Genomic DNA, 24,400 nt, shown 5'->3' with positions numbered 1-24,400 from the left:
AAGATGAAAATGCACCATTGCTGTCATGATTGGCCCGTGATCCAAGGCAAAGAGATGAAAACAAGAGATTATGTGCACTAGGGGATTGTTCTTTACCTCCTAAGCCCTTTTTGTCTCTAGTCCACCCTGTGTTCTTGCAACTATGCTTTCTACATAATTTGCATTTTTATCTTATTCACATTCCATCTTCTCATTTTACTGCAATGAACGTTTCCTCAGATGATGTGTTCCTTACAAGTCCCTCAGCTGGTGTATTCTATTGCTTCCCTTTTGCTAGATATCTGGGAAGTTATTCTTTTCTTTCTTCATTTCTTTTATTTTCCCGTTACTTTTAGGTGTTTTAGACGTGCACGTTCATTCCACTTCAAGAATCATGACCTCCTCAAGTCTAACAATACATATTTTACCTCCCGCTCTCAATTCCTGGCATTTACTCCCATAAATGAAATTGAGATCTTTTCACTAAGACTTATTTATTTATTTATTTTTTACCTGCAAGATCTCAGATTTTTCACTTTTGCTTCTCAATATAATCTTCATTGATTATGTCAGTCACTTCTCTTCATAGCACTACTGGAATAATTCACTCTTCAGAGTATATCTCTTACTTCAATCCTCTTCCAAGTTCCAGAGAGCACTTCCAGCTGCACACTATTTGTCTAAGTCTAGTAATCAATTGACCTTATGATAGAGAAAGTATTCTGAAGAGCCTATTTATATTAGTCTGTTCTCAATCTCCTGTAAACAAACTACCTATGACTGGGTAATTTATGAAGAAAAGAGGTTTAATTGACTCACAGTTCCCCAGGCTATACAGGAACCAGGGCTGGGAGGCCTCAGGAAACTTACAATCATGGCGGATGGTGAAGGTGAGGCATGCGTGTTTTACCATGGTGGAGCAGGAGACAGGAAACAAAGAAGGATGTGCTACACACTTCTAAACAACCTGATCTCCTGAGAACTCACTCACTATCGTAAAAGCAGCAAGGTGGAAATCTTGCCCCCCATGATCATCTCCTACCAGGTCCCTCCCCCAACGTTGGGAATTACAATTTAACATGAGATTTGGGTGCGAACACATAGCCAAATCATATCCCTAATCTAATAAAATAAGCAGTGATTTTCTAAACTGCCAGCAAAAGCAGAAATCAGAAAGACTGAAATCAAGACAGGGATTTGATGTAAGGGGGGTTTTCCATTGCTGAAGAAAACTGAGACCTCATTTCTACAGCTGCAAGAAACTGATCTGTCAACAATCTGAATGCGCTAAAAGGAGACTGTTTCCAGAGCTTCCAAGTACCTTAGTCCGGCCAACACATCCACTTCCACCTCATGATACCCATATCAGAGAATGCAGTCCGGTCCACATGGACTTCTGACCTATAGAACTGTGAGTTGATAAGTGGGTGTTGTTTTAAGCTGCTGAATTTATGGTAATTTTTTATCCAGCAACAGAAAACAAATATAATTCATTCAACACAACAATTCTATCTAAATTTTTTTCTAAATTCCAGAATGTGTTTTCCATCATGTTTCTATAGATGTAAATAACACCACAGTCCTTCCAGCATGGTCACTGAGATTCATATCTGTCTTGCTCCACACATTCATTAAAATTAATAATTTTATTCTAGAACCATAGAATCTATGTCATCTGCATCTCACTTTCCACTCTATTCTCTTTACCATGAAGCATTTAAAATTCACCGTATCTGCTATTTGGTATAATAAAAGAGCTTTCTCACTTTTATTTGATCTGTACCACATTGACAATGGAAATCTCCTAACAACACACTTTAACCATGTCAGCCTCTTCTCTGGAAAAACAATTAAAAATAATAAAATGAGTGTCATGCCTCAGTTCTTTATTATGGCATTCACAAAGAACCCACCATATTTCTGGATCTAACCAACTTTTTAGTCAAATTAAAAAGCATATTTTTCCCTGAAAATTCTCTATATATTTCCACTTACGTACCTTTCTTGGAAATAGAAACTTTTTATGCCTGAATAAATCTTTCAACATGTGGAGAAAGTTTAATAATTCCATGGAACATATATTACTTAATTTGTACCTTCATTGGTAATATGAAATTCAATAAATGTTTGGTCAATGATATGGTTTGGATGTGTGACCCCTGCAAATCTCATCTGGAAATGTGGCCACAAATGTTGGAGATGGTCTCAGACGTCTAGTGAGAGATGTTTGGATCATGGGGGTGGATCCCTCATGAATGGCTTGGTGCTGTCCTCTTGGTACTGAGTGAGTTCTCACTCTATTAGTTCATGTCAGAGCTAGTTGTTTAAAAGAGCCTGAAACTTCCTCCTTTTTCCTGCTCCTTCTGTCATCATGTGATGTACCTGCACCCCTTCATCCTCCATGAAGGGTAAAGACTTCCTAAGGCTCCACCAGAAGCTGAGAAGATGCTGGTGCCATGCTTGTATAGATAAATCTCTTTTCTTTATAAATTACCCAGCCTCAGGTATTTCTTTATAACAATGCAAAACAGACCAATACACTTAACCAGCAAATCAATTCAGACTCTCCTTATTCTTCCTAAAGAGAGGAGTTTCCTTCAATGCATCTGTAGGGTACTTTATACTTTTCCCACATTGCATGTGGGAAAAAATTCTCTACTCCTGACACCTTCTTTGCTCACTGTAAGAATCAGAGCAGGGTGTTTTACTCTTCTCTGTATTCCTCAGTAAATCCTATGGGAGATTATATCTAGTATAATTCGTTTCATGTTTTTGAAATAATTGAATATAGTTAAGCAATTTAAACTCTATGTGAGAATTCTCCTTACATTTACAACTGATATTCCAGGTACTGTTCACCCCTGTCAACTAAATAAGGCCCCATAAGTTCTTATTTGTGGCGCTCAAGGAATCCTCTTCTAGTTAATGTCTCTGTGCCTGAGGACACCTTGGTGGCCAGGGAGCAGCTTTGAACAACCTGCATATTTTGGGGAATTTCAGAAGTTCATTTTCTCAGCTTCCCTTGCAGCTAGAGTAGAGGTATTTGACTTAAATGCCCAACAGAAAGAAAAACACAAGACTTTGGTTCTAGAGAGATAAAGCAATTTCTGTGCCAAACTGATTTTCTGACAAGGCTAGGGTCAGAGCCAGCTGGTCTTCCCAGGCCACCCCGGGCAGCTTGGCACGCAGTGCCAGAATCATCAGGCATCTACAGCAGTGGGTATAGCAGTGCTGGCTTCACTGAGGAGCTCTGGGGAGATGTAGGTGTTGTTCTTGGTGGTGGCATTTCAAATCTGATTGTAGCTGTCTAGAAACTTCAGTAAAAAAGTCCCTTTAATAAATCTCTTTCTGTTTGAATAGCTAGTGTTGCTGCTATCATTCACAACTAGAATCCTGAGTGATCAGTACCTAAGCATGGAAAAATATAGTTATTACAAAAGAATATATCATATTAGTTACTAATAATTCCAAATGCATTCCCTACTATTCAGAATTAGAACTGAGTCCATATTCATAATTGTAGTATGTTACTATGTTATTATATATTTTCATATTTTCATACTTTTTTTATTTAACAGATTTTGTTGAGTCCCATAACCAATCTTTCATAGCAATTATGATGTACCAGGAATTTTACTAAATTTTATACACTATTAAACTCCTTCGATCTTGAAAATGTCTCTGTGAGATAGGTGCAATTATCAAAGTGATCCCCATTTTAAAAGTGAAGAGATAGAGGTCCAGAAATGTAGGTAATTTGCACAAAAATCACACAATGAGTTAGCAGCAGAGAAAGGTTCAGACTTAGGTATTAGGCTAAAATCTCACTCTTAACCACTATGGTAATTTTGTGTGGAGGAGTCAGCTGCATTTAGTCATACGCTTGCAGAGTAATAAAGTATAGCTACAGTATTTTCACTCATTGTCTTTTGATATGCTTGAAAATGACCAATCTTAGCGCTACTCAAGCTCTTTGGAAAATTTCTTACTTTAATGTGCATGTAAGTCATATATAAAACAAAACAATAATTCAGAAGATACTAAACTCGAATGTGCATAAAGAAACTGCAGATGAAAATTATCTTTCAACCAACCAACATTTATTAGACACATATTCTATGCTGGACATGATGTTAGATGCTGTGTATACAAATAAAAATGGGATACAATAATGTCTTTAAGGAGACGTCACCTAGGGAATGACATCAACAGGTAAGCAATCAAGAATCTTTCAGTATGAAATGGGTTACCATAGATTTTATGGTAATACTATGGAAACTCATTTTTAGTCAAGGGAAGGTCCCCAGATTCTACAGACTTCATTTTCTATTTCACTTAAAAAAGAAAAAAGAAAGCAACTCAAAGAAATTGATCTAAAACAAATACTTAATTTCATACAAGGAGAGGTAAGTTCTAATAAATAGCAAATACAGTCTGGACACAATGTTTATCACATTTCCAATACATCAATTCAAGTGATGTGGTTGTGGTTCATATGAACCTCAAAAATAATGCATCAAAATGAAAGGATTAGTTTGTATGAAAGAGGATATTTATCTATAGTCTCTACCACCTGAAATACAATTTAGCTCACATAATGTACTCAAAAATATTTTTTTTGCAGCTGTACAAATATGAGAAAATGGCTAGAACAGGTTGGAGGCTTTCTAGGACTCTTAGCTGGGTATGAAAATGTGGGTAATTATAATTTGCTTTTTGCTAGAATCTCCATGAGGATAATGACCATTTAATTTGTTCATGACTACAGAATGCACCAAAAAAAATCTGCCCATAAAATGTAAATAAAACTTATTGTATTAGTTACATTGTCAGTTGTTAACCAGAAATATTTCATGTCATAATTGCATTTGATAGAAGTGCTAAATTATGGGCCAGGCACAGTGGCTCATGCCTGGAATCACAACATTTTGGAGGCTGAGGGAGGAGGATTGCTTGAGCCCAGGAGTTCAAAACCATTCTGGGCAACATGGCAAAACCCCATCTCTACTAAAAGTACCAAAAAATATAGCTAGGTACTGATGGTGCACACCTGTAATCCCAGCTACCCAGGAGGCTGAGGCATGAGGATTGTTTGAGCCAAGAAGGCAGAGGCTATAGTGAGCCAAGATCACACCACTGCACTCCAGCTTGGGCAACAGAGCCAGACCCTGTGTCAAAAATAAAGAAAACATGCTAAATTATGTCAGATTGTGTCTGTTTGAGACACTGCCACAAAAAAAGTCTTTTTTTTTTTTTGGAGACAGGGTCTGGCTCTATCACCTAGGCTGGAATGCAGTGGCACGATCACCACTCACTGCAGCCTCTGCCTCCCCATCCCCGGCTCAAGTGATCCTTGTGCCTCTGCCTCCTGAGTAACTGGGACCGCAGGCGTGTGCTAGGATACCTGGCTAACTTTTGTATTTTTAGAGAGACAGTTTTTGCCATGTTGTCCCAGCTGGTCTCAAACTCCTAGGCTCAAGTGATCCTCCCACCTCAGCCTCCCAAAGTGCTGGGATTACAGCTGTAAGCCACCACACTCGGCCAAAAATATCAACTTAATTGTCATATGAATAGCTTCTGTGTGGCAAAAATGGTTAAGACAATAGAAATAAAAGATTTAAGGTTGTGATAATTCATGTAACAAATGTATACATAGTTACACCTGAAATATTTTTGAACAACTTTGTATCTCTATCTTGTCAACAGTGACAGAGAAAGAGATGATAAATGGTAATGAACAAACAAATACATTTTGAATGCTGCAGCTGCCAGGACGTATCTTAGTGAGAACTAAACCTTCCTTTTTGTAAATCAGTGAGATTTTGGTGGTAGCTTGTTCTGCAGCATAATTTAGCATCTTTCTATCTCTGAAGTCAGTCAGTTATGGAGTATAGTTAATTCTACAGAAATATCTGTTTAATCTGCTTTCTTTTTCTTCTACCCTGCTTTACTTAAATCCATCAACATTTTTCACTTGAAACAGCTATTAGTGGTCTTTTGCTAACAACTTTGTCCTAATTCAGTTCATCCTCCACAAGGCATACTTGGTTATTAGTGAAATAGTCTGTATGCTATTTCCATGTTTAAAATCTCCTAAGAATTACAGATAGCTCTAAGACAAAATGCAAATTTATCAGACAGCCCCACATGATATCAAGGTGTCTCCTGCCACCTCCCATACAATCTTCTCCATCACTTTCCCTTGAACACCTTTTCCCTTGTTATTTTGTAATTCAATGCTTTGCACACATGCCAATTTGTCTGTTCAGAGTGCTTTTCCATCCTGTGTCCCTCAGTAGTCCCAACAGAAAACTAATAAGATTTTTCTTACAGGTGCAACTGGCCCACCCTTTTTCAGTGCAATCAAAATCATGTATAATTAAAAAGAATTTTTTTTTCTAGATGGAGTCTCGCTCTGTTGCCCAGGCTGGAGTGCAGTAGCGCGATCTTGGCTCACTGCAAGCTCCACCTCCCGGGTTCACACCATTCTCCTGCCTCAGCCACCAGAGTAGCTGGGACTACAGGCGCCCGCCACCATGCCTGGCTAAGTTTTTGTATTTTTAGTAGAGACAGGGTTTCACGGTCTTAGACAGAATGGTCTCGATCTCCTGACCTCGTGATCTGCCTGCCTCAGCTTCCCAAAGTGCTGAGATTACAGGTGTGAGCCACCGCGCCCGGCCAAGAATGTTTTCTTAATGAGTGCTTCACTTGCCTCTGAGCTCTGCTTGAAATGCATTACATGTATTAACTTATGTAATCCCCACAAAGTGAATAAGGTAGTCAGCATTATTACCTCCATGGTATAGATAAGGAAGTTGATTTTCAGTGAAATCAATGAGGTTCTACTGAGGTTATTCAGTTTTTAAGTGGCCAAGCTATGTTTCTAACCTAGGAAGTCATAGTCGGCCCTCTAAGTCCCTATACCGTTATATCACTTCTTTAATTATAGAACTGCGTTTCAGAAGCTAGATCTTCTTTATCTTCATATCTTGATCTACAATAGCTCCTACATATGGGTGGAATTACTGACACCAGCTGGTCCAAAGTACCCCAGGAGAAGCTGACAAAAAATTCAGTTTCCGCATCAAGATGATTTCATCACTCTTACCCTAACCAATCAAAACCCCAATTTTACAGCCGCTCACCCTCCACAATCCCCTTAAAAACTCCAGCCCAGAACTCCTCAGGGAGATGGATGTGACGGTCGTTCTCATGTCCTTGCTTAGCTGCCCTATAATCATTAAAGTCTTTCTCTGTTGCAAACCCTGCTGTCTCAGTGTGTTTGTCTGTTACTGCACAGCAAGCATACAAATCTGGTGGTCCTGTGACACCATCTCCCTCCCTGCAACTTAGAAGTAACCGATAGCCTTCACTTTCAATAAAGCATGCCTTTCTGTTTCTTTCTGGTTTTATCATATATGCATATATTCCTAAAGTATATACTGTTAACCTGTTTTTGGATTTTATGTAAGTGAAATGACATTGTATGTATTCTTCTATGACTTATTTTAATCAACATTATGATTTTTCTTTCATGTGTATTTACTTGAAGTGTATTCCCTTTGAATTTCAAATTGTATTTCTTTATATAAAATGTAGCATATGCTTTGAACAGTGATGATGTTTATGGACATTTAAGTTGTTTTCATTTTCGGGTTATTATACAATACACACTGCTTCTCTGCATATTTTTAATACACATCTTCCCATAAACATGAGCAGGCATTTTTCTGGGATGTCTTCCTATCATTGAAATTGCTGGGGCATAAGGTGTGAACATGTCAATTTTATCAAATAATAGCTAGAATCCATAAGATTTTGTCTGCGGACAACCCTCAGGCTGCCAGAACCCATCTTGCCTGAACATAAGGGTAGTTGGGAAATTGGGAAAAGTAACCAACGTCTGATAGATGTAGGCATATAAAGTCTCCAGCTTCTAGCCCCTGCTTCAGACAGCTGTGACATGTGACTTATCTCAAGAGCTTCCCTGTGGGATCTGAGCCAAGGTTACATTCCATGACATTTGGCACACTGACTTTACTTCTCCATCCCACTTTCCACTCCCTTGCTAGTTTTCCCCAGGAACACTTTCATTGTCATCTTTACATGTGAATCCTCTTCTTAACAATAATATATTCTGTACTTTTAATGTTTTGTACCATGAATGTTGATTTGCGAGGTCAGAGTATACTGTGGAGAATACTAAGTAAACTCAGGGCCAAAAAGAGAGCCATAGAATTAGCATAGTGTTGGCAAAATGTCGATATACAGAACTGAATGGTTTAAAATACCATCAACATAGTTGATCTTTATTTTCAACATTTACTAATTATATTCTAATTCTCCACTAAGCTATATAAGGTAGAGATTGCTCTTTATCATGAGATTTATGTTGCATTATCTATGTTCAGATTTAGGGGAAAATAGTTATATTCATATACTTACATTATGTCTGTGATTAGCGTTTTTTCTTTAAATTTTTCACTGAAAACTCTTCAAAGGCAATGGGTGCCCCTGCTTTCTACTTTCTCTGACTACTCTGTCTATAGCATATGAAGCTGCAGGTCATATTCAGAGATGCTGCATTTTAGAGCAGAACTTGATGAATGTTTAAGGCAGTACATAATTGATATAAAAGCACAATATACTAAATTCTTTAAAATAGATATTTTCAAAGATCAAATCCTATTTTTGCTTTATACCTGTGAAAATGGTGTTTAGAGTAGATTCTTGCTACTTTGAAGTACTTGTATTGTTTTTCTGAATGAATAATCGGTATAATACATTATTCCTCTCGTGGTTTGACAGCTTTGGAGCATTCGTATCATAGTTAGTACCTCATTATGAAAAAACACAGTTAGATAGGCCTTAGTTTTTTAATCCTGGCTTCACTACATACAACAGACACCATGGGAAAGTTATTTATCTGTATTTCAGTTTCTACCTCTGCAAAATCATACCTACCCCCATGACTATTAATACTTTAATCCCCACTTTGGGGCTTTTATTCACAACTGATATCCTTTAGGGTCATGTTATTTCTGACACTGATATGTTTCAGTAGAGAAATAATTCAATGATTTTTATTTTTAATGAGGTATATTATCCTTGTTAAAGAATGCATTCTCTTGTAATTATTAAATAATGTCTTCCTATCAACTTCTAATCATCAATCCCTCTAAACATAATAGAAATTATGCATATACAATGATTTGGACAGACTTTTTTACTGTGATAATAAACAGAAGGTTGCATATAATGTTCAGACATAGAGATATGATAGGAGATAATACTATTTCTACATAGTTACAGAGTTTACACAATGCCAGAGTAATTAATCCAGGTCCATATTGCTAAGGCTAAGCCCATGAAACAGACTATCCAAGGGCATTTAGCCTAGTCTGCACAGAGAGAAAATGTCTAATGCTTTGAGTCAATCTGATTGCATCAAAAGGGATTTGCTTTCAGCTGTTCAGATCAATGAATACTAGATTTTTACCCTCAAAATCAGCAGCAGCTGTCTCTAGAACCCGGTGAGAGAGACTGGCTGAGCATACCCCAACATAATCTCAAGAAACATCAGTTTGTAACATGTTCTGGAAAAGTAAGACACATCCTAGAGTCCTGTCTTCTTTAACAGTAAACAAAATGCCTTAACTGAAAGAAGTTTTATTTGATGGTCCCTAGAGTTGTGATCCACATACTGCCTACTCTTCATTAACTCTAACATATACTTCTTGACACCACTTATGCTGTCTAATCCCACCCTGGGCCAGGGACCACACTTGGTCTCTGGCCCCCACAGCTGCCCAAAGGCTGGAGCTAGTGCTGAATGCTACATTTCAGACACCCAGGGGGAACCCCCAAACCCTGGGTTTTGCTGAAGGTTTTCCAATGTCAAGGAACAGCTATCGCATTCTTGCCTCTGCCATTCTTGCTTTTCCTGATAAAATGAGACTGCCCTGCAAATTGATGTTAAGTACTTAGCCTCCTCAGTTATTATAATTCTGCCATCTCTTAGCCACCACCAGGCTATAAATGAATTCTGACTCTCCCCAAAGATTAATGCCACTGCATATGATTACACCCTGCACATCCCCAGGGTCACCATTCCCACAGGTGCAGGTGTCAATACCTGTGGCTACTCAGACTTGGCATGTTGCTAGAAGGACTAACACATGCCTGAGAGACTGCAGATCTAAATTTGCTATTTTATTTTAAATAATTTAAATGTATATTTTAAAACTGATAATTCATTTATAGGAGAACATTTTAGATATTTTGGGAGCAATTTGGCTATGTGAGTCCAGTGTTTAAACCATAAATGTTGTGAAATTTAAATATAGATGAAGTATTTCTGATGGAAATTTAGTTTCTGAATCAAGATAAGTGTAACATACACACCAGATTTTAAAAATTTAGTATGAAAAATGTAAAGTAGCAAATTGATAATTTTTATATTGATTACATAACAAAATGACAATATTTCAATATTTTAGTTTAACTAAAACATATAAAATGTATTTCACCTGTTTCTTTTTAGTTTTTTTCCATGCAGGTATTAGATAATTGAAAATTACATATATGGCTCACCATGTATTTTACCAGACAGTGCTGACATAGACTACAACATGTTCTGAACACAAAGTAAACCACAAATATTTGTTAAATTATTGATGCCCCTTCAAAAAAAATAATTATTATTTTCATCGAGTAAGACAAGTATCTATTTTCTTTTGATTAATACTCAGATGCCACCTGAACTATCTCCAAATTTATGGTTGGGGACACTCACCAGTGTGCTTCAGACCAACAGTGCCTTGTGTCATAATGATGTCACCATCTCAGAGTCTCTAAAACGTTCCCTTGTCAACTTTTCAGATGTTTTAATCCCACATGCAAATGAATCTTTAGTGGTGGTATGTGCTTAGCTCAATGCATGCTTATTAAATGCCTGGATACCTCATTTTCTGTAGTTTGAGCAGCCTTTCAACACTGATTTTGACACTTAGTCTTATCATTTAGGCCTTTCCAGGTCCTGACCTGTATTATTGTACATTGGAACTATATGCAAGGGCCATGGCTGAAGGGATCAATGTTGGTATCTTGGTCCGTATTTCACCTCTAATAGAATTGATCTTAGCCTATTTGTTCAGATTGCTTCTTTGACAAGACAAAGCCAAATGTAGATCAGCTTTGTTTTATTCATGCCATTTTGCCTAAAATAAATAGTTCAGATTTACATGTAGCAGAGTGTTTTTTTTTTAGCTTTTTCTTTTTTTTTGATATAAGATGTCATATAATAAAGAAAAGGAAAAAGAAAGATTGCAATGTTCTCTCCCAGCCTGAATAACTCAGAGTTACATAAGTGTTTATGAATAATGAATGTCTAATTGAGGTGCCTGAAATATGAATCACTGTACCATTCCAAACGGCAGTGAGATGTAGAATTCTCATTCGGCAACAGGATTTTTATTTCCCGATTTCTGCCTTTCTGTTATTCCCGCAGTTGAGTATGAGGTCACACAGATAACACTTCTGAAGAAATCAACCACACTTTTTTCTATTCCAACTAAGCCATCCAAACAAAGAAAAAAATAGTAGGGGGGATTCCCAAGAGTTGAGGACAAAGGAACCTAAAATCTACATTAATCCAATAAACAGAAACAGCATCACAGGGTTTTAGATCTCAGGCTCAGTGAGAAATCTATTTGAATTTAAATTGTTGGCATTCCAGAAGCTGATTAACGTATTTCAGGCTGTTGACAAAACATCCTGCCTGTTTATCACTCCTTAGTGAATCCTTGCCATTTCATTGATAAATTGCTGAGGAGAACTGATAATTTCCAAATGTATGTCATATCAGTGGAAGGAAAAGTTAGAAAGAGCTCACAAATACATGAAAGTGAAGCTGTAACAAAGCATCAGCATTCTTTATCTCTGTCATAACCACTGACTGTGTGCTTCCTCCACCCTGCGTTTTCTTTCCCAGTGCTGCAAGGAGCATGTTGAGTTCTGATTGGCATCTCTGGGTCTGTCTACCTAAACTTCTCACTTGGAACCACAAGATGCTAAATTAAGACTGATACCCAAAGGATTATAAATCATTCTACTATAAAGACACATGCACATGTATGTTTATTGCGGCACTGTTCACAATAGCAAGGACTTGGAATCAACCCAAATGCCCATCACTGATAGACTGGATAAAGAAAATGTGGCACATATACACCATGCAATACTATGTAGCCATAAAAAAAGATGAATTCATGTCCTTTGCAGGGACATGGATGAAGCTGGAAACCGCCATTCTCAGCAAACTAAGGCAGGAACAGAAAACCAAACACCACGTGTTGTCACCCATAAGTGGGAGTTGAACAATGAGAACACATGGACACAGGGAGGGGAACATCGGACACAGGGAGGGGGACATCACACACTGGGGCCTGTCAGGGGGTAGGGGCTGGGGGATGGATAGCATTAGGAGAAACATCTATTGTAGATAACGGGTTGATGGGTGCAGCAAACCACCGTGGCACATGTATACCTGTGTAACAAACCTGCACATTCCACACGTGTACCCCAGAACTTAAAGTTAAAAAAAAAAAAGACTGAGGTACTCAAAGCCTGTCTCCAGGCCCCTGCATAGAAATCACTGACCAAATCGGCCAGGCGTGGTGGCTCACGCCTGTAATCCCAGCACTTTGGGAGGCCGAGGTGGGCGGATCACAAGGTCAGGAGATTGAGACCATCCTGGCTAACACGGTGAAACCCTGCCTCTACTAAAAATACAAAAAATTAGCCAGGCGTGGTGGCGGGAGCCTGTAGTCCCAGCTACTCCGGAGGCTGAGGCAGGAGAATGGCGTGAACCCGGGAGGCGGAGCTTGCAGTGAGCTGAGATCGCGCCACTGCACTCCAGCCTGGGCGACAGAGCGAGACTCCGTCTTACAAAAAAAAAAAAAAAAATCACTGACCAAATCACGAAGATAAGATAGTTTTGCTGAAGTTGCATCATTTGGACGTATCCAATAAACATCCCTAAAACTGGGGCACCTGCATATTTCCTCTCAAGTCCTGATGGCCACGATTTGAAAGCCTAAAACTCATACTTCTCTTCCTAGTTAGTGCTATTTCTTTGGGAATGAAACCAACAAACACAGTTTGGTGTACAAAATACCAATATTTGGTTTCCAATTTCTTGTTTGAATTGTTGAAATTCAAATACAGGATTTTGAATTAAAAACCAAAAGTATTTTGTGCTTCTTGGAAACAGTCTTTAGAAAATTATTTTCCATCATCAATGATTGTCTTAAATAATCTATAGAGAAGGTAGATAATGGTAACTTTGAAAGATTTGGTCAAATGAGTCTTTGCTTTACTTTATTTAATACTTGATAGAAAGAAGTTTGGGAGAAAAGAATGAATCAATTCCCTTGGGAGTTTCTAGTTTTCCAGGAAGTATGGTCATTCTACTAAACAACAACAAAATGAAAGGCAAAATGTCACAATGCTGAATCCTTTATTTGAAAGGGAAGAAAGCATTTAGTGATTGATAATGATCATACAATGGGATATTGTTATTATTGATGCCAGATTGTTCTCATCTCACACTAAATGTAGATCCACTTACGGCATATCTAGTAGGCCTCACATACTTTATATTTTGTGGTTGAGGTTTACTCCTGTTATTCATTTTCTTTCACTTTGTACTGACTTACTGCTTTTTCCCAGGTGTGTTTTGAATATTAAGAGTGTTAGTGACTTTAAAAATACAGCTTCTGTCAGATTCTAGCGTATTGGTGCTGCATATCAGTAGTTTTTTCTTATTTAAATTCTTTTCTGGTAGAGAGAATGTTGGTCTCATTGTTCTGTTCAAATCTTTACTGGTTCCCACATATATAATATTTAGAGTACAGGTTTGTCTTTTTTTTTTTTGCCTGCCACCCCACATAATACAAGTTCAAAAATTAGACTAAATTGATTTCAATTTTGGCTAGGCTTTTAGTATAGTGAAAAAAAGATATGCTTTTAACAAATACATCATTATATGCAAATATTTAAAATAACTTCTTTTACTTTCAGATTATTTAAAACAGATTAAAAAACATGCAAAGAAATCACAAAGGCATTCTGAATGAAAATCTACTCAATATACGCTTCTCAGAAATGAAAGAGAAATGTCTCTTTTTGTGTTCTAAAACACCAGTGGGAAAACTTTAGTTATGCTTTATAACCAACTCAAATATTATTCAAATTTTTCCAAAAGAAAAGTTCTCACAAAGTCAGGGAAGACAAGTGGAGGACAGAATAGTGAATTATTTTGAAGTCAGAAGACTTAATTTCAAATACTCAGATCCAGTTTCTGTTAGCTGTGACCTTAGGCAAGAATCTAAACTTGGTGAATCTCAGTTTTCTTATTCATCAAACTGAGTTTTGTAACTTCTGAATTTCTTCCTAGGGTTTTGTAAGGATCAGATAAAATAATATGTACATACAAGCATTTATTTCTACATTTGTGAATATCAGCTCTGTTCTTGGCATCATCCTGTATGTCAAGTATTCATGGATACTTGATACACAGGACATGTCTTCAGGTGACACCCACCCAGTCTCTTGGGGTCAGAAAAATAAGTCTACAATACAATACTTCATTATAAGTTCTGAGATAGAGATAGACGAAAAAACAAAACAAAACAAAACAAAACAAAAAAACACGTGGATGTCTTGAAATGACCAAAAAGAAATACTTTGCCGTCAGTAATGACTTTTAAGGAAGTTGACAACTTAAGTCACTACCAAAGGACAGGAAGCTTAAACATGTTAATGCTGTTTAAGAAGACTGATCTATCTAATTAAAAAAAAACCTGAAGACCAATGAGAAGTGCTTATACTTTAATACTATTTGAATGTGAATGTAGGTGTGTGGAAGGTTTGGGAATATAAATGTGGTGGGGGCAGTGGTAACATCCTTTGCTATTTTGGCCTTCTTGGCACTTGTTTTTGTGGACTGCCAGCCCTTCAACAGTAAAGAAGTCATCATTTCTGCTTTATTAGCCTCTTGTTGGAATAAATTTAATCATCCTCCTCTGGGAATTCTATATGATCCTATGAGAACATATGACCTTACCATAATACGAGAAGAGTCTCTAGCAATCCCTATGACTCTAGTACTGAGAAATGACAATGTGCTAGCAGCCCTTCCTGGCTCTTGGTGCCTCCTCGGCCTCGGCGTCCACTCTGGCCGCACTCCAGGAGCCCTTCAGCCCGCTGCTGTGCTGTGGGGGTCCCCCTCTGGGGCTGGCAGAGGCAAGAGTCCGCTCCCTCTGCTCTCAGGCCACACGGGTTCCAGGTGGGCGCCGGCTTGGTGGCCAGCCCGCGCCTGCTGGGCTTGTTTGGGGGACAAGCTCCCTCTGGGCTGCTGGAGTGCCTGGGCTAGGTGCCACAAAGTCCCGTGGCCAGTGCCATTGAGAGGTGAAGCCAGCTGGGCTTCTCGGTAGGGTGGGGACCTGGAGAACTTTTCCGTCTAGTTAAAGGTTTGTAAAAGCACCAATCAGCCCTCTGTGTCTAGCTAATCTGGTGGGGACTTGGAGAACTTTTGTGTCTAGCTAAAGGACTGTGAACGCACCAATCAGCACTCTGTGTCTAGCTAAAGGTTTGTAAATGCACCAATCAGTGCTCTATGTCTAGCTAATCTGGTGGGGACTTGGAGAACTTTTGTTTCTAGCTAAAGGACTGTAAATGCACCAATCAGCACTCTGTCAAAACGGACCAATCGGCTCTCTGTAAAATGGACCAATCAGCAGGATGTGGGTGGGGCCAGATAAGGGAAGAAAAGCAGGCCACCCCAGCCAGCAGTGACAACCTGCTCGGGTACCCTCATGCGCGGGGGAAGGTTTGTTCTTTCGCTTTTCACAATAAATCTTGCTGCTGCTCACTCTTTGTGTCCGTGCGGCATTTATGAGCTGTAACACTCACCGTGAAGGTCTGCACCTTCACTCCTGAGGCCAGGGAGACCACGAACCCACCAGAAGGAAGGAACAACTCCAGACGTGCAGCCTTTAAGAGCTGTAACACCGCAAAGGTCTGCAGCTTCATTCCTGAAGTCAGCGAGACCACGAACCCGCCAGAAGGAAGAAACTCCAGACACATCTGGACGTCTGAAGGAACAAACTCCGGATATACCCTCTTTAAGAACTGTAACCCTCACCGCAAGGGTCCGTAGCTTCATTCTTGAAGTCAGCGAGACCAAAAACCCACCAATTCCGCACACAGTACCATAGAAGCCTGTACACCTCAGAAGCACGTGATTTTAACTTCCACCCTCTAGAACACTCAGGGAGGAAGAGTAAGGAAGTCAACAATACTTTTCATCATCTTAAGAGTAGATCCTTATAAGACTTATTTGGTGGTCTAAGCAGAGGGTTGAAAACAAAACAAAACCCAATTCGTTATCCATCCAAATATGTATGTGCCAGACACTGGCTAGAGAAAATTATAGAACACGCTTAATTATGCATTATTCATACATATGCTCAGGCACAAACCTTGTAATGCAAAATAATTCATCCTGGAGGCAGAAGAGTCTTTCCGGTTGTGGATGTCTGGTGAGGTGGTGGTTACAGACATATTGCAGACAAGGACCCGCAGTTCAAACAGATACCATTGTCTATCAATTTTAAAGCAGAAGACAGATGCAAAGGAAATACATTGCAAAAGTTGCTGAGAATGAAAACCAAGCAAAATAAAAGCAACATGAATTCCTTACCTTGCTAAGAAAATCATAATAGCTAAGGGAAATAAAATAAAATGACCTTTGGGTGAAAACCTGGGGAAGAAATCTTTCTACATTTTGTGTTTACATTTTGATGTTAAAGAGGCAAGAACAATAAAAATAGACTGTCTTAAATGTCATGTTTTATTGTCAGCAATATTCGCGTCAAGCATATATCTGAGTTTTAAAGCAAGAGGATGAGTAAACAATGTTGATTGCTCATTCTTGGTGTATAGAAAAGGCAGCTAACAAAGGCTACACTGCTTTGAATTCTTATTAGTGACAATTTTTTTAGAATTACTTTTGCAAGGCATGCATATAAAAGAACAATTCTATATTTCTTAATTCTGAAAGAAAAAAATGTGAAAAAGTCACTAATTTGCTAAGGGTATTAAGAGAAGGGTCTGTTCATTTTAATAAGTATGACCTGAGCCGGTTGCTAACAGAGTCATTATTAGATTAAGTCCTCCCAATTGTCTTGGAAATAATTTGGTCTGCCTCTTAATAAGTAAAATAAAGAAAAAGGGATAAATAGTCACAAAAGCATGGAATTTAATCACAGGAGAGTAGATATTGAAAAATACAGTCACTCATTTGGTATAGAGGAATTGTAATTTTCAGGTTTGAACTATAGTTTTTACAGGTGCAGTTTTTTTATGGCCTAAACTTGTCTATTGAATGAACTCTGTTCAATGCCACTCACCAACCAGCTGATGTGAGCTTCCCAAACGGCTACTTGTGGACTTGCCCTATTCTTTCCTGGCCTTCATTTCTTCTTGTAGGCTACACTGCTTCTACTGGGTTACAGAATGTATTTCTTATGAGCCAGATACAGTGTTAAGGACCGATACAATGTATTCTGTTACCCAAAAGCCAGCACAAGTCGAAAGCCATGTATGTGAAATAATATCTTGAGATAAGAAAGGCATGCTTTATCAGCTCAACATTATCCTCATGGTCTCTGTTCTACAATATTGGAAGTGTTGAAAGAATGTTGATATGAGAGGGCCATTCTCTAATGACTCTGAATATTCATTTTTAAAAATGAGATTTAAATTTCTAGTTTATTTATGATGATAATTGCGTTGGTTGTTGTTACTCATCTGCTATTATAGTCTAGATTCCAATTGGCTACGACAGTGACCAAACAATTTGTGAGATAGTTTTTTGGAACAAGAAAAGTACCAGCAAATATTAACTCTTGATTTAACAAATGATTCCTACATATAAGCAATGAGTATTTGAAATTTACAATTAGTAGAATAATATATGCAGTAAATAATATTTTATGTACTTGTTCACACATTTAGAAAATATTCTCTGAGAGTCAAACCTGCATAAGTACAGCATGAAAGTGCTTTCAGGCTGTGAAGAATTTTATTTTTAAAATGAATATTTCTGATGGTAGAAATCATTCACAAAAATTCTCCACCTCCTTATTTGAGATGTGAAAAATACTAAAGACTCTCTATGAATAAAGTTAGCATATAGGCTGCGCTCTGTGGCTCATGCCTGTAATCCTAGCACTTTGGGAGGCCAAGGTGGGTAGATCACTTGAGTGCAGGAGTTCGAGACCAGCCTGACACACATGGCAAAACCCTGTCTGTACAAACATTAAAAAAAAAATTAGCAGGGCATGGTGGTGCGAGTCTATAGTCTTAGCTACTCAGGAGGCTGAGATGGGAGGATCACCTGAGCACAAGGATGTGGAGGCTGTAGCGAGCCCTGATCATGCCACTGCACTCTAGCCTGGGTGACAAACCTTGTCTTAAAAGAAAAAAAAAAAAAAAGCAAAGGGATAAAGGAATATTAAATGATTATTCTCGTAAACACATTTTGCCTATATTCTTGAATGGTTTAGAAAGAAAAATTCAGTGTGTAAATATTTGATAAAGCTTTTTGCCTAGATATCCTGACCATTCTCCAGAAATTTCATAGAAACGATATCTACGCACAGAGGGAGGTGTGGTCCAGACCACTAAGAATCTGTAAGAGCCCAGTAAGATCAAGACCAAGGAATTATGATCTTTCTTGGCTACACAACGGGCGTTCAGTGACGACAGGGTCCTAGAGAGTGTCCACTCAAAATTTCTCATTATAGAAGTGAGTGAGGAATTTTGGCAATTGAACACAAGTAGGAAGTGGCCCAAGATGTCTCCTATGGGTAACGAAAAATCTAGATCCATATCAACAATCTTACAAAGGTATATGTATTCTTCACATCTTCTTAAATTTTTGTTTGTTTGTTTAAATACATTGATTTGCTAATTCAGATGTGGTTATCCCATCCCATATGTCCTAAACTTTATAGGGCCAGTACCAAATAGGATAGTTTTCAGTATTGTGTTTAAACTAAAATTACCAAACATATTATAATAATGAATTATTCGCAAACTTCCCCCTCTTTTAGACAGTCAGCTATTAATGTTGTGATCTAAAGAGAGTGTTAGAAAATTAATATTCCAGAGCCATTTCAAAGGCGGCAGCAGGGATCAATGTGATAGCATTGATGTTAAGCCAGTACATGATTTTCTCAATAGCAAATATTAAGATATATAGAATTTGGTACACAAAGGGGAAAATAGTAACTTCCTAAAAATAATTAACTAAAAAATTCTTCATCTCAAAAGTCCAAAATTGAAAAACTCTTTTATCTTTATTCCCCTTTCTCTAATTAAGTCTAGTTCATTCTGTTAAACTAAAAATCACTAGACTTATTATCAAAGAACTTTTATAATCAGTATTTTCAGAAACACAGTAGTGAAACCATGGGAGATACGACTATATTTCTAAGTACATTAAAGAAACCCCATTGAAAGCCCGTGATCCGCACAATGTTTAGCTAAATTTTATAAAAGCAAATCCCAAAGTGGAAATGTATTCTGCTGGCCTTAAAGATGTTCTGTGATAAAGACGATCTGTGATTCTCCAAAAGAAGATCCCAGAGCACAAGATCTGTCCAGTCTGATTTGATTATGGAAACTTGTATGTATATACGTGTGTTCACCACACATATTAACATCATGCACTTTGGGACGCATTGCTCTATGGAAATTGCAACAAAACCTAGCACAGATTTCTATGAAGAAAACAAAAACAAGGTGTTGAAATACCAACATTTTAAAATTGAGTGTAATGGTTGAAAAATAACAATACTATTTTAAAATTTAAAAAGGTATGCCCAAACAAAATGTATGAGTCATTGCCTGGTGAGTTTGCTTTCAACATTCTATCATTTATAACAAGTGTCAATGATACACATATTCCTGTATTACACATTTAATTTTATAAAACTCCCAGTCAAGCCAAAATTTTGGTTTATCTTTGAGAATTAAGTAAAAAAGAATACATTAAAATTCACAATACCAGTTAGATGGAAACTCTCATTCATTTGGGGAGGTGGATATGAAATCTGTGAGGTCTTCAGAAGAAATCTTTGAAAAGTTGTATTTAAAAGATAGAATATATTGGGCTAAGGAAAACAAAGGTGATACTTTTTATTCGCCCTAATGTCCAGAACAATTTTTTATATGAGGCTTATAACTACATGTTAGTTTCTATAAGATATATAGATTCTAAGAGATCAAATTCAAACAACATTAAGATAATAAGAACAAAACAACACTTAAAAATCACTGGCATAATCTCTTTCACTTAAATTGAAAGGAGTTTGAGGTGAAAAGTCCTGCAGAATATTTAAGTCACTGTAAGTCTTAACACCCCAAAAATACTGAAAGTTTTAAAAATGTTATTTTACTAATTTTTAAATTATTATGATAATATTTTGTCTTAGATGATAATGGGGGAAAACACACATACATTGGCAAATACACAAATTTAAACAATAAATTTTTAAGGAGGCATCGTCTTTGTAATGACAAAGGTATTTAATTCAATCCTCGTTTTAAAATGTTGGTATCTATAGTGTTGTTTTTAGAAGCTGGGAGTAACTTATGGGAAAGAGACTAATATTTCAATGCAACATAGTTTGTGTAAATTGTTTCTTTTAACCTTCACGGTAGCTCTGCTAAACAGTATAACTGATTTTATTTTAAACTACAAGTAGAGGGACCATACTTTCAGGATTATCCTTGTGTAACTATTAATGATACTCTCTTTCACTGTCAAAAGTTCCTGACTCAGATGACAAATTATTCCATATTATATCCTTTATCATTATTATATCCTGGTTCAGATATAGTAATCATAGAAATCAGGAAACCAAGATATAATACATTTAAATAATTTGCTAATCCCATGCTTGTCCTTGGTCAGCTCAGTACTGGAACTTAGTTAGGCATGAAGACAAGCCACTCTCCTTTTACTGCTCAGCACTGCCTCAGAGCCGACAAAATCAGCAGGTGTTTCCAGGAGAGCCAATTGAAGATGAAGAAGTATGACCAGCCAAAATAGGAATGTCAAATATCCTGAAATGCCCCATTAGGAAACCAGTTCTTTGAATTTTTCTGCTCCCAAGGATGTGCTTTTATAAGGCAAATCGTCCTGAGAGGTATCACTTCACCGATTACTTCATACTTAAGTAATAATGAATTACCTGTGAGTGAGAAAAGGAGAAAATTTTAAAAAGTACTACATGGTAGAGGCTGGCAAAGGGAAAGAGGAAAAATATTGGAATGGAAGCTGCAAAAATAGGGCAGAATCTCATCAATTGGGAACTTGAGTCTACTTCATAATTTAAGCCTTGATGTTATATTCTAAGAATAAAGCTTCCTAATTAAGGTTAAGAATACCGCCTACTGTGGCTGATTCGGGCGGTCATGAGTGGGCCATGTGTAACAAAGGAGTACATCACGGACTAGAGACAGCAGAAGAGTACCAGCAGGAGGAGCTAGGCCACACAGACAGACAATGCCCTCATGGACGCGCTGTGGTTCCGTTCCCAGTTTATAGTATATCAGCTGCAGTTCTAGATTTAATTAGTTGTGACAGATCCTTCTAATATTTAAAGGCAAAAAGAGGAGAGCAAAGAAAAAGCAGAGGGAAAGAAGGTGTTTTATAAATGCAACTCAGAGACAAGAGAATTGAGAGTGGGAAAAAGGGAAAAATTTTCTTTCTAGGAGTAGCAGGAATAATAGATTTCTCAAGAGTAGAATAAGGTTTTACTGTTTGCTGAACTGCCTGGGAGCCTGTAAGAGGCAGCCCAGCGCGTTTCCGGAGGGGGACATGTGTATGTAAGTGTGAGCTAGGGAAGAGGTTGGCGTCATGCTTATCACTAGAACTTCCTCCTGGCCAACAGGAAGTGGAAAATGACACCAGCCTACAGTGATTATCTGAGCAAGCTGTGGTATAAAGGCATCGTGGCAATTATGAACTTCAGTGGTGTCTTTTGTGTCTTTTTATGTTAATTTTTAAAAATTAAACTGGAAACTATGGCTTTAGTGATTTTTTTTTTTTAAGTTCTGGAATACATGGGCAGAATGTGTAGGTTTGTTACATAGGTACACATGTGCCACGGTGGCTTACTGCACCTATCAACCTGTCACCTAGGGTGTTTTTTTTTTGTTTTTTTTTTTTTGAGATGGAGTCTCGCTCTGTCACCCAGGCTGGAGTGTAGTGGCGCGATCTGGGCTCAGTGCAAGCTCCGCCTCCCGGGTTCAGGCCATTCTCCTGTCTCAGCCTCCCGAGTAGCTGGGACTACAGGCGCCAGCCACCACGCCCGGCTAATTCTCTGTATTTTTAGTAGAGACGGGATTTCACCACGTTAGCCAGGATGGTCTGGATCTCCTGACCTCGTGATCCACCTGCCTCGGCCTCCCAAAGTGCTGGGATTACAGGCGTGAGCCACCGCGCCCGGCCCTGTCATCTAGGTTTTAAGCCCCACATGCACTAGGTATTTCTCCTAATGCTCTCCTTCTCCTTGCCCTTCACCCTATGAAAGGCCACGGTGTGTTATGTTCCCGTCCCTGTGTCCATGTGTTCTCATTGTTCAGCTCCCATTTATAAGTGAGAACATGCAGTGTTGGTTTTCTGTTTCTGTGTTAGTTTGCTGAGAATGATGGCTTCCAGCTTCATCCATGTCCCTGCAAAGGACATGAACTTATTCTTTTCTATAGCTGCATAGTGTTCCGTGGTGTATATGTCCCACATTTTCTTTATCCAGTCCATCATTGGTGGCCATTTGGGTTGGATTGCGGCCAACAAACATGTTAAAAAAAAGCTCATCATCACTGGTCATTAGAGAAATGCAAATCAAACCACAATGAGATTCTATTTCACACCAGTTAGAATGGTGATCATTAAAAAGTCAGGAAACCGGCCGGGCACAGTGGCTCACGCCTGTAATCCCAGGACTTTGGGAGGCCGAGGCGGGTGGATCACAAGGTCAGGAGATTGAGACGATCCTGGCTAACATGGTGAAACCCTGTCTCCACTAAAAATACAAAAAAAAAATTAGCCAGGCATGGTGGCGGGCGCCTGCAGTCCCAGCTACTCAGGAGGCTGAAGGGGGAGAATGGCATGAACCTCGGAGGCAGAGCTTGCAGTGAGCCGAGATCGCACCACTGCACTCCAGCCTGGGCAACAGAGAGAGACTCCGTCTCAAAAAAAAAACAGTCAGGAAACAACAGATGCTGGCGAGGATGTGGAGAAATAGGAACACTTTTACACTGTTGGTAGGAGTGTAAATTCGTTGAACCATTGTGGAAGACAGTGTGGTAATTCCTCAAGGATCTAGAACCAGAAATACCATTTGACCCAGCAATCCCATTACTGGGTACACACCCAAAGGATTATAAATCATTCTAGTATAAAGTGGTGTCTTTTAAGGAAAGGTAAGGACTGTGGTTCTCTTTGAGATACACGTAGAAACTTCAAGAGATCTATTCTAGCAGTCTCTCCAAACATCTGTTATTCACATACTCCTTTGATAAGTGATTATTAATTATGTGACCGCAAGTGCAATGTGTTTTCCCTGCTGAAGGAAATAGAGGAAAACTAATGTGAAAACAACATCACCACCACAACCTTCTGCCCTCTGGTGTGATAGAGAAGATGACGCATTCTTAAAATGGGAGAAATTACTCAGGGAAAATACATAGGAGGAAACATCTTTGAGGAGGCAACAAACAAGATTCTTAGACATATCTACTAAGTAAAAATCAGTGGCAGGAAGGTGAAAAGAAAGAAAATTATTCAGGATCTACATTAGTTGGGAAATACTGAGATTGCATGACTGGGTTTCTCTGGCTATAACAGCATAAATAAATTGAACTTGACTCAAATCTTCAAACTCATTTTAGGCACCATCATTGGGCTAATTCAAAAAGGCAGCACTGATATTACCTCATCTGGTGTAATTACATATAAAGAGTGTTGGGTTCCAGCAGAAGATATGGATTTGTGTCCCTCTCCCTGTGCCACTGTTCCCTAGCTATGCTACTTTAGAACCTAATGATGTATTTTGGGGTTTCTATATGTATTATTTGAATTTGTAAAACGGGGATAATAACTAGTTTTTGTTTGTGTTTTTCTTTAAAACCAAAAGTCCTTTAGTAACTAGGAAGAAAAACTTACTTTAATGAGCTCAGACAGGGGGAGGTGACCATTAGAACTGGAATGATACATCTGAGAGACTCAAGCTGAAGTTCAGTCAGAGGTTAAGCAAGTTGGAAACAGGGGTCTGAAAGAGCC

At 38.3% G+C, this 24,400-nt stretch overlaps 1 protein-coding gene across 2 annotated transcripts in view, besides 3 other annotated features; it reads right to left on the bottom strand.

Moving 5' to 3' along the window:
• Positions 1-24,400, bottom strand: part of CNTNAP2 (contactin associated protein 2) — a 2,304,198-nt gene that overhangs the window by 1,617,485 nt on the left and 662,313 nt on the right. The gene's annotated exons all lie outside the window — the stretch shown is intronic.
• Positions 11,563-11,857: a silencer, noted in NCBI's record as "tiled region #553; HepG2 Repressive non-DNase unmatched - State 24:Quies". NCBI's record gives its function as "represses a minimal TATA promoter and a strong SV40 promoter by Sharpr-MPRA in HepG2 cells {active_cell/tissue: HepG2}" and the evidence as "EXISTENCE:reporter gene assay evidence [ECO:0000049][PMID:27701403]".
• Positions 14,764-15,289: an enhancer, noted in NCBI's record as "H3K27ac-H3K4me1 hESC enhancer chr7:146485317-146485842 (GRCh37/hg19 assembly coordinates)". NCBI's record gives its function as "activates a minimal SCP1, AML or CMV promoter by ChIP-STARR-seq in naive H9 embryonic stem cells {active_cell/tissue: H9 hESC(naive)}" and the evidence as "EXISTENCE:reporter gene assay evidence [ECO:0000049][PMID:30033119]".
• Positions 21,891-22,091: a silencer, noted in NCBI's record as "peak6825 fragment used in MPRA reporter construct". NCBI's record gives its function as "represses an SCP1 promoter by STARR-seq MPRAs in K562 erythroleukemia cells {active_cell/tissue: K562}" and the evidence as "EXISTENCE:reporter gene assay evidence [ECO:0000049][PMID:32103011]".

Source organism: Homo sapiens, chromosome 7, assembly GCF_000001405.40.
Source record: "Homo sapiens chromosome 7, GRCh38.p14 Primary Assembly".
NCBI classification, from domain to species: domain Eukaryota; kingdom Metazoa; phylum Chordata; class Mammalia; order Primates; family Hominidae; genus Homo; species Homo sapiens.
The sequence above is the reverse complement of the archived record's forward strand: the minus strand, read 5'-3'. Positions and strand labels throughout refer to the sequence as shown.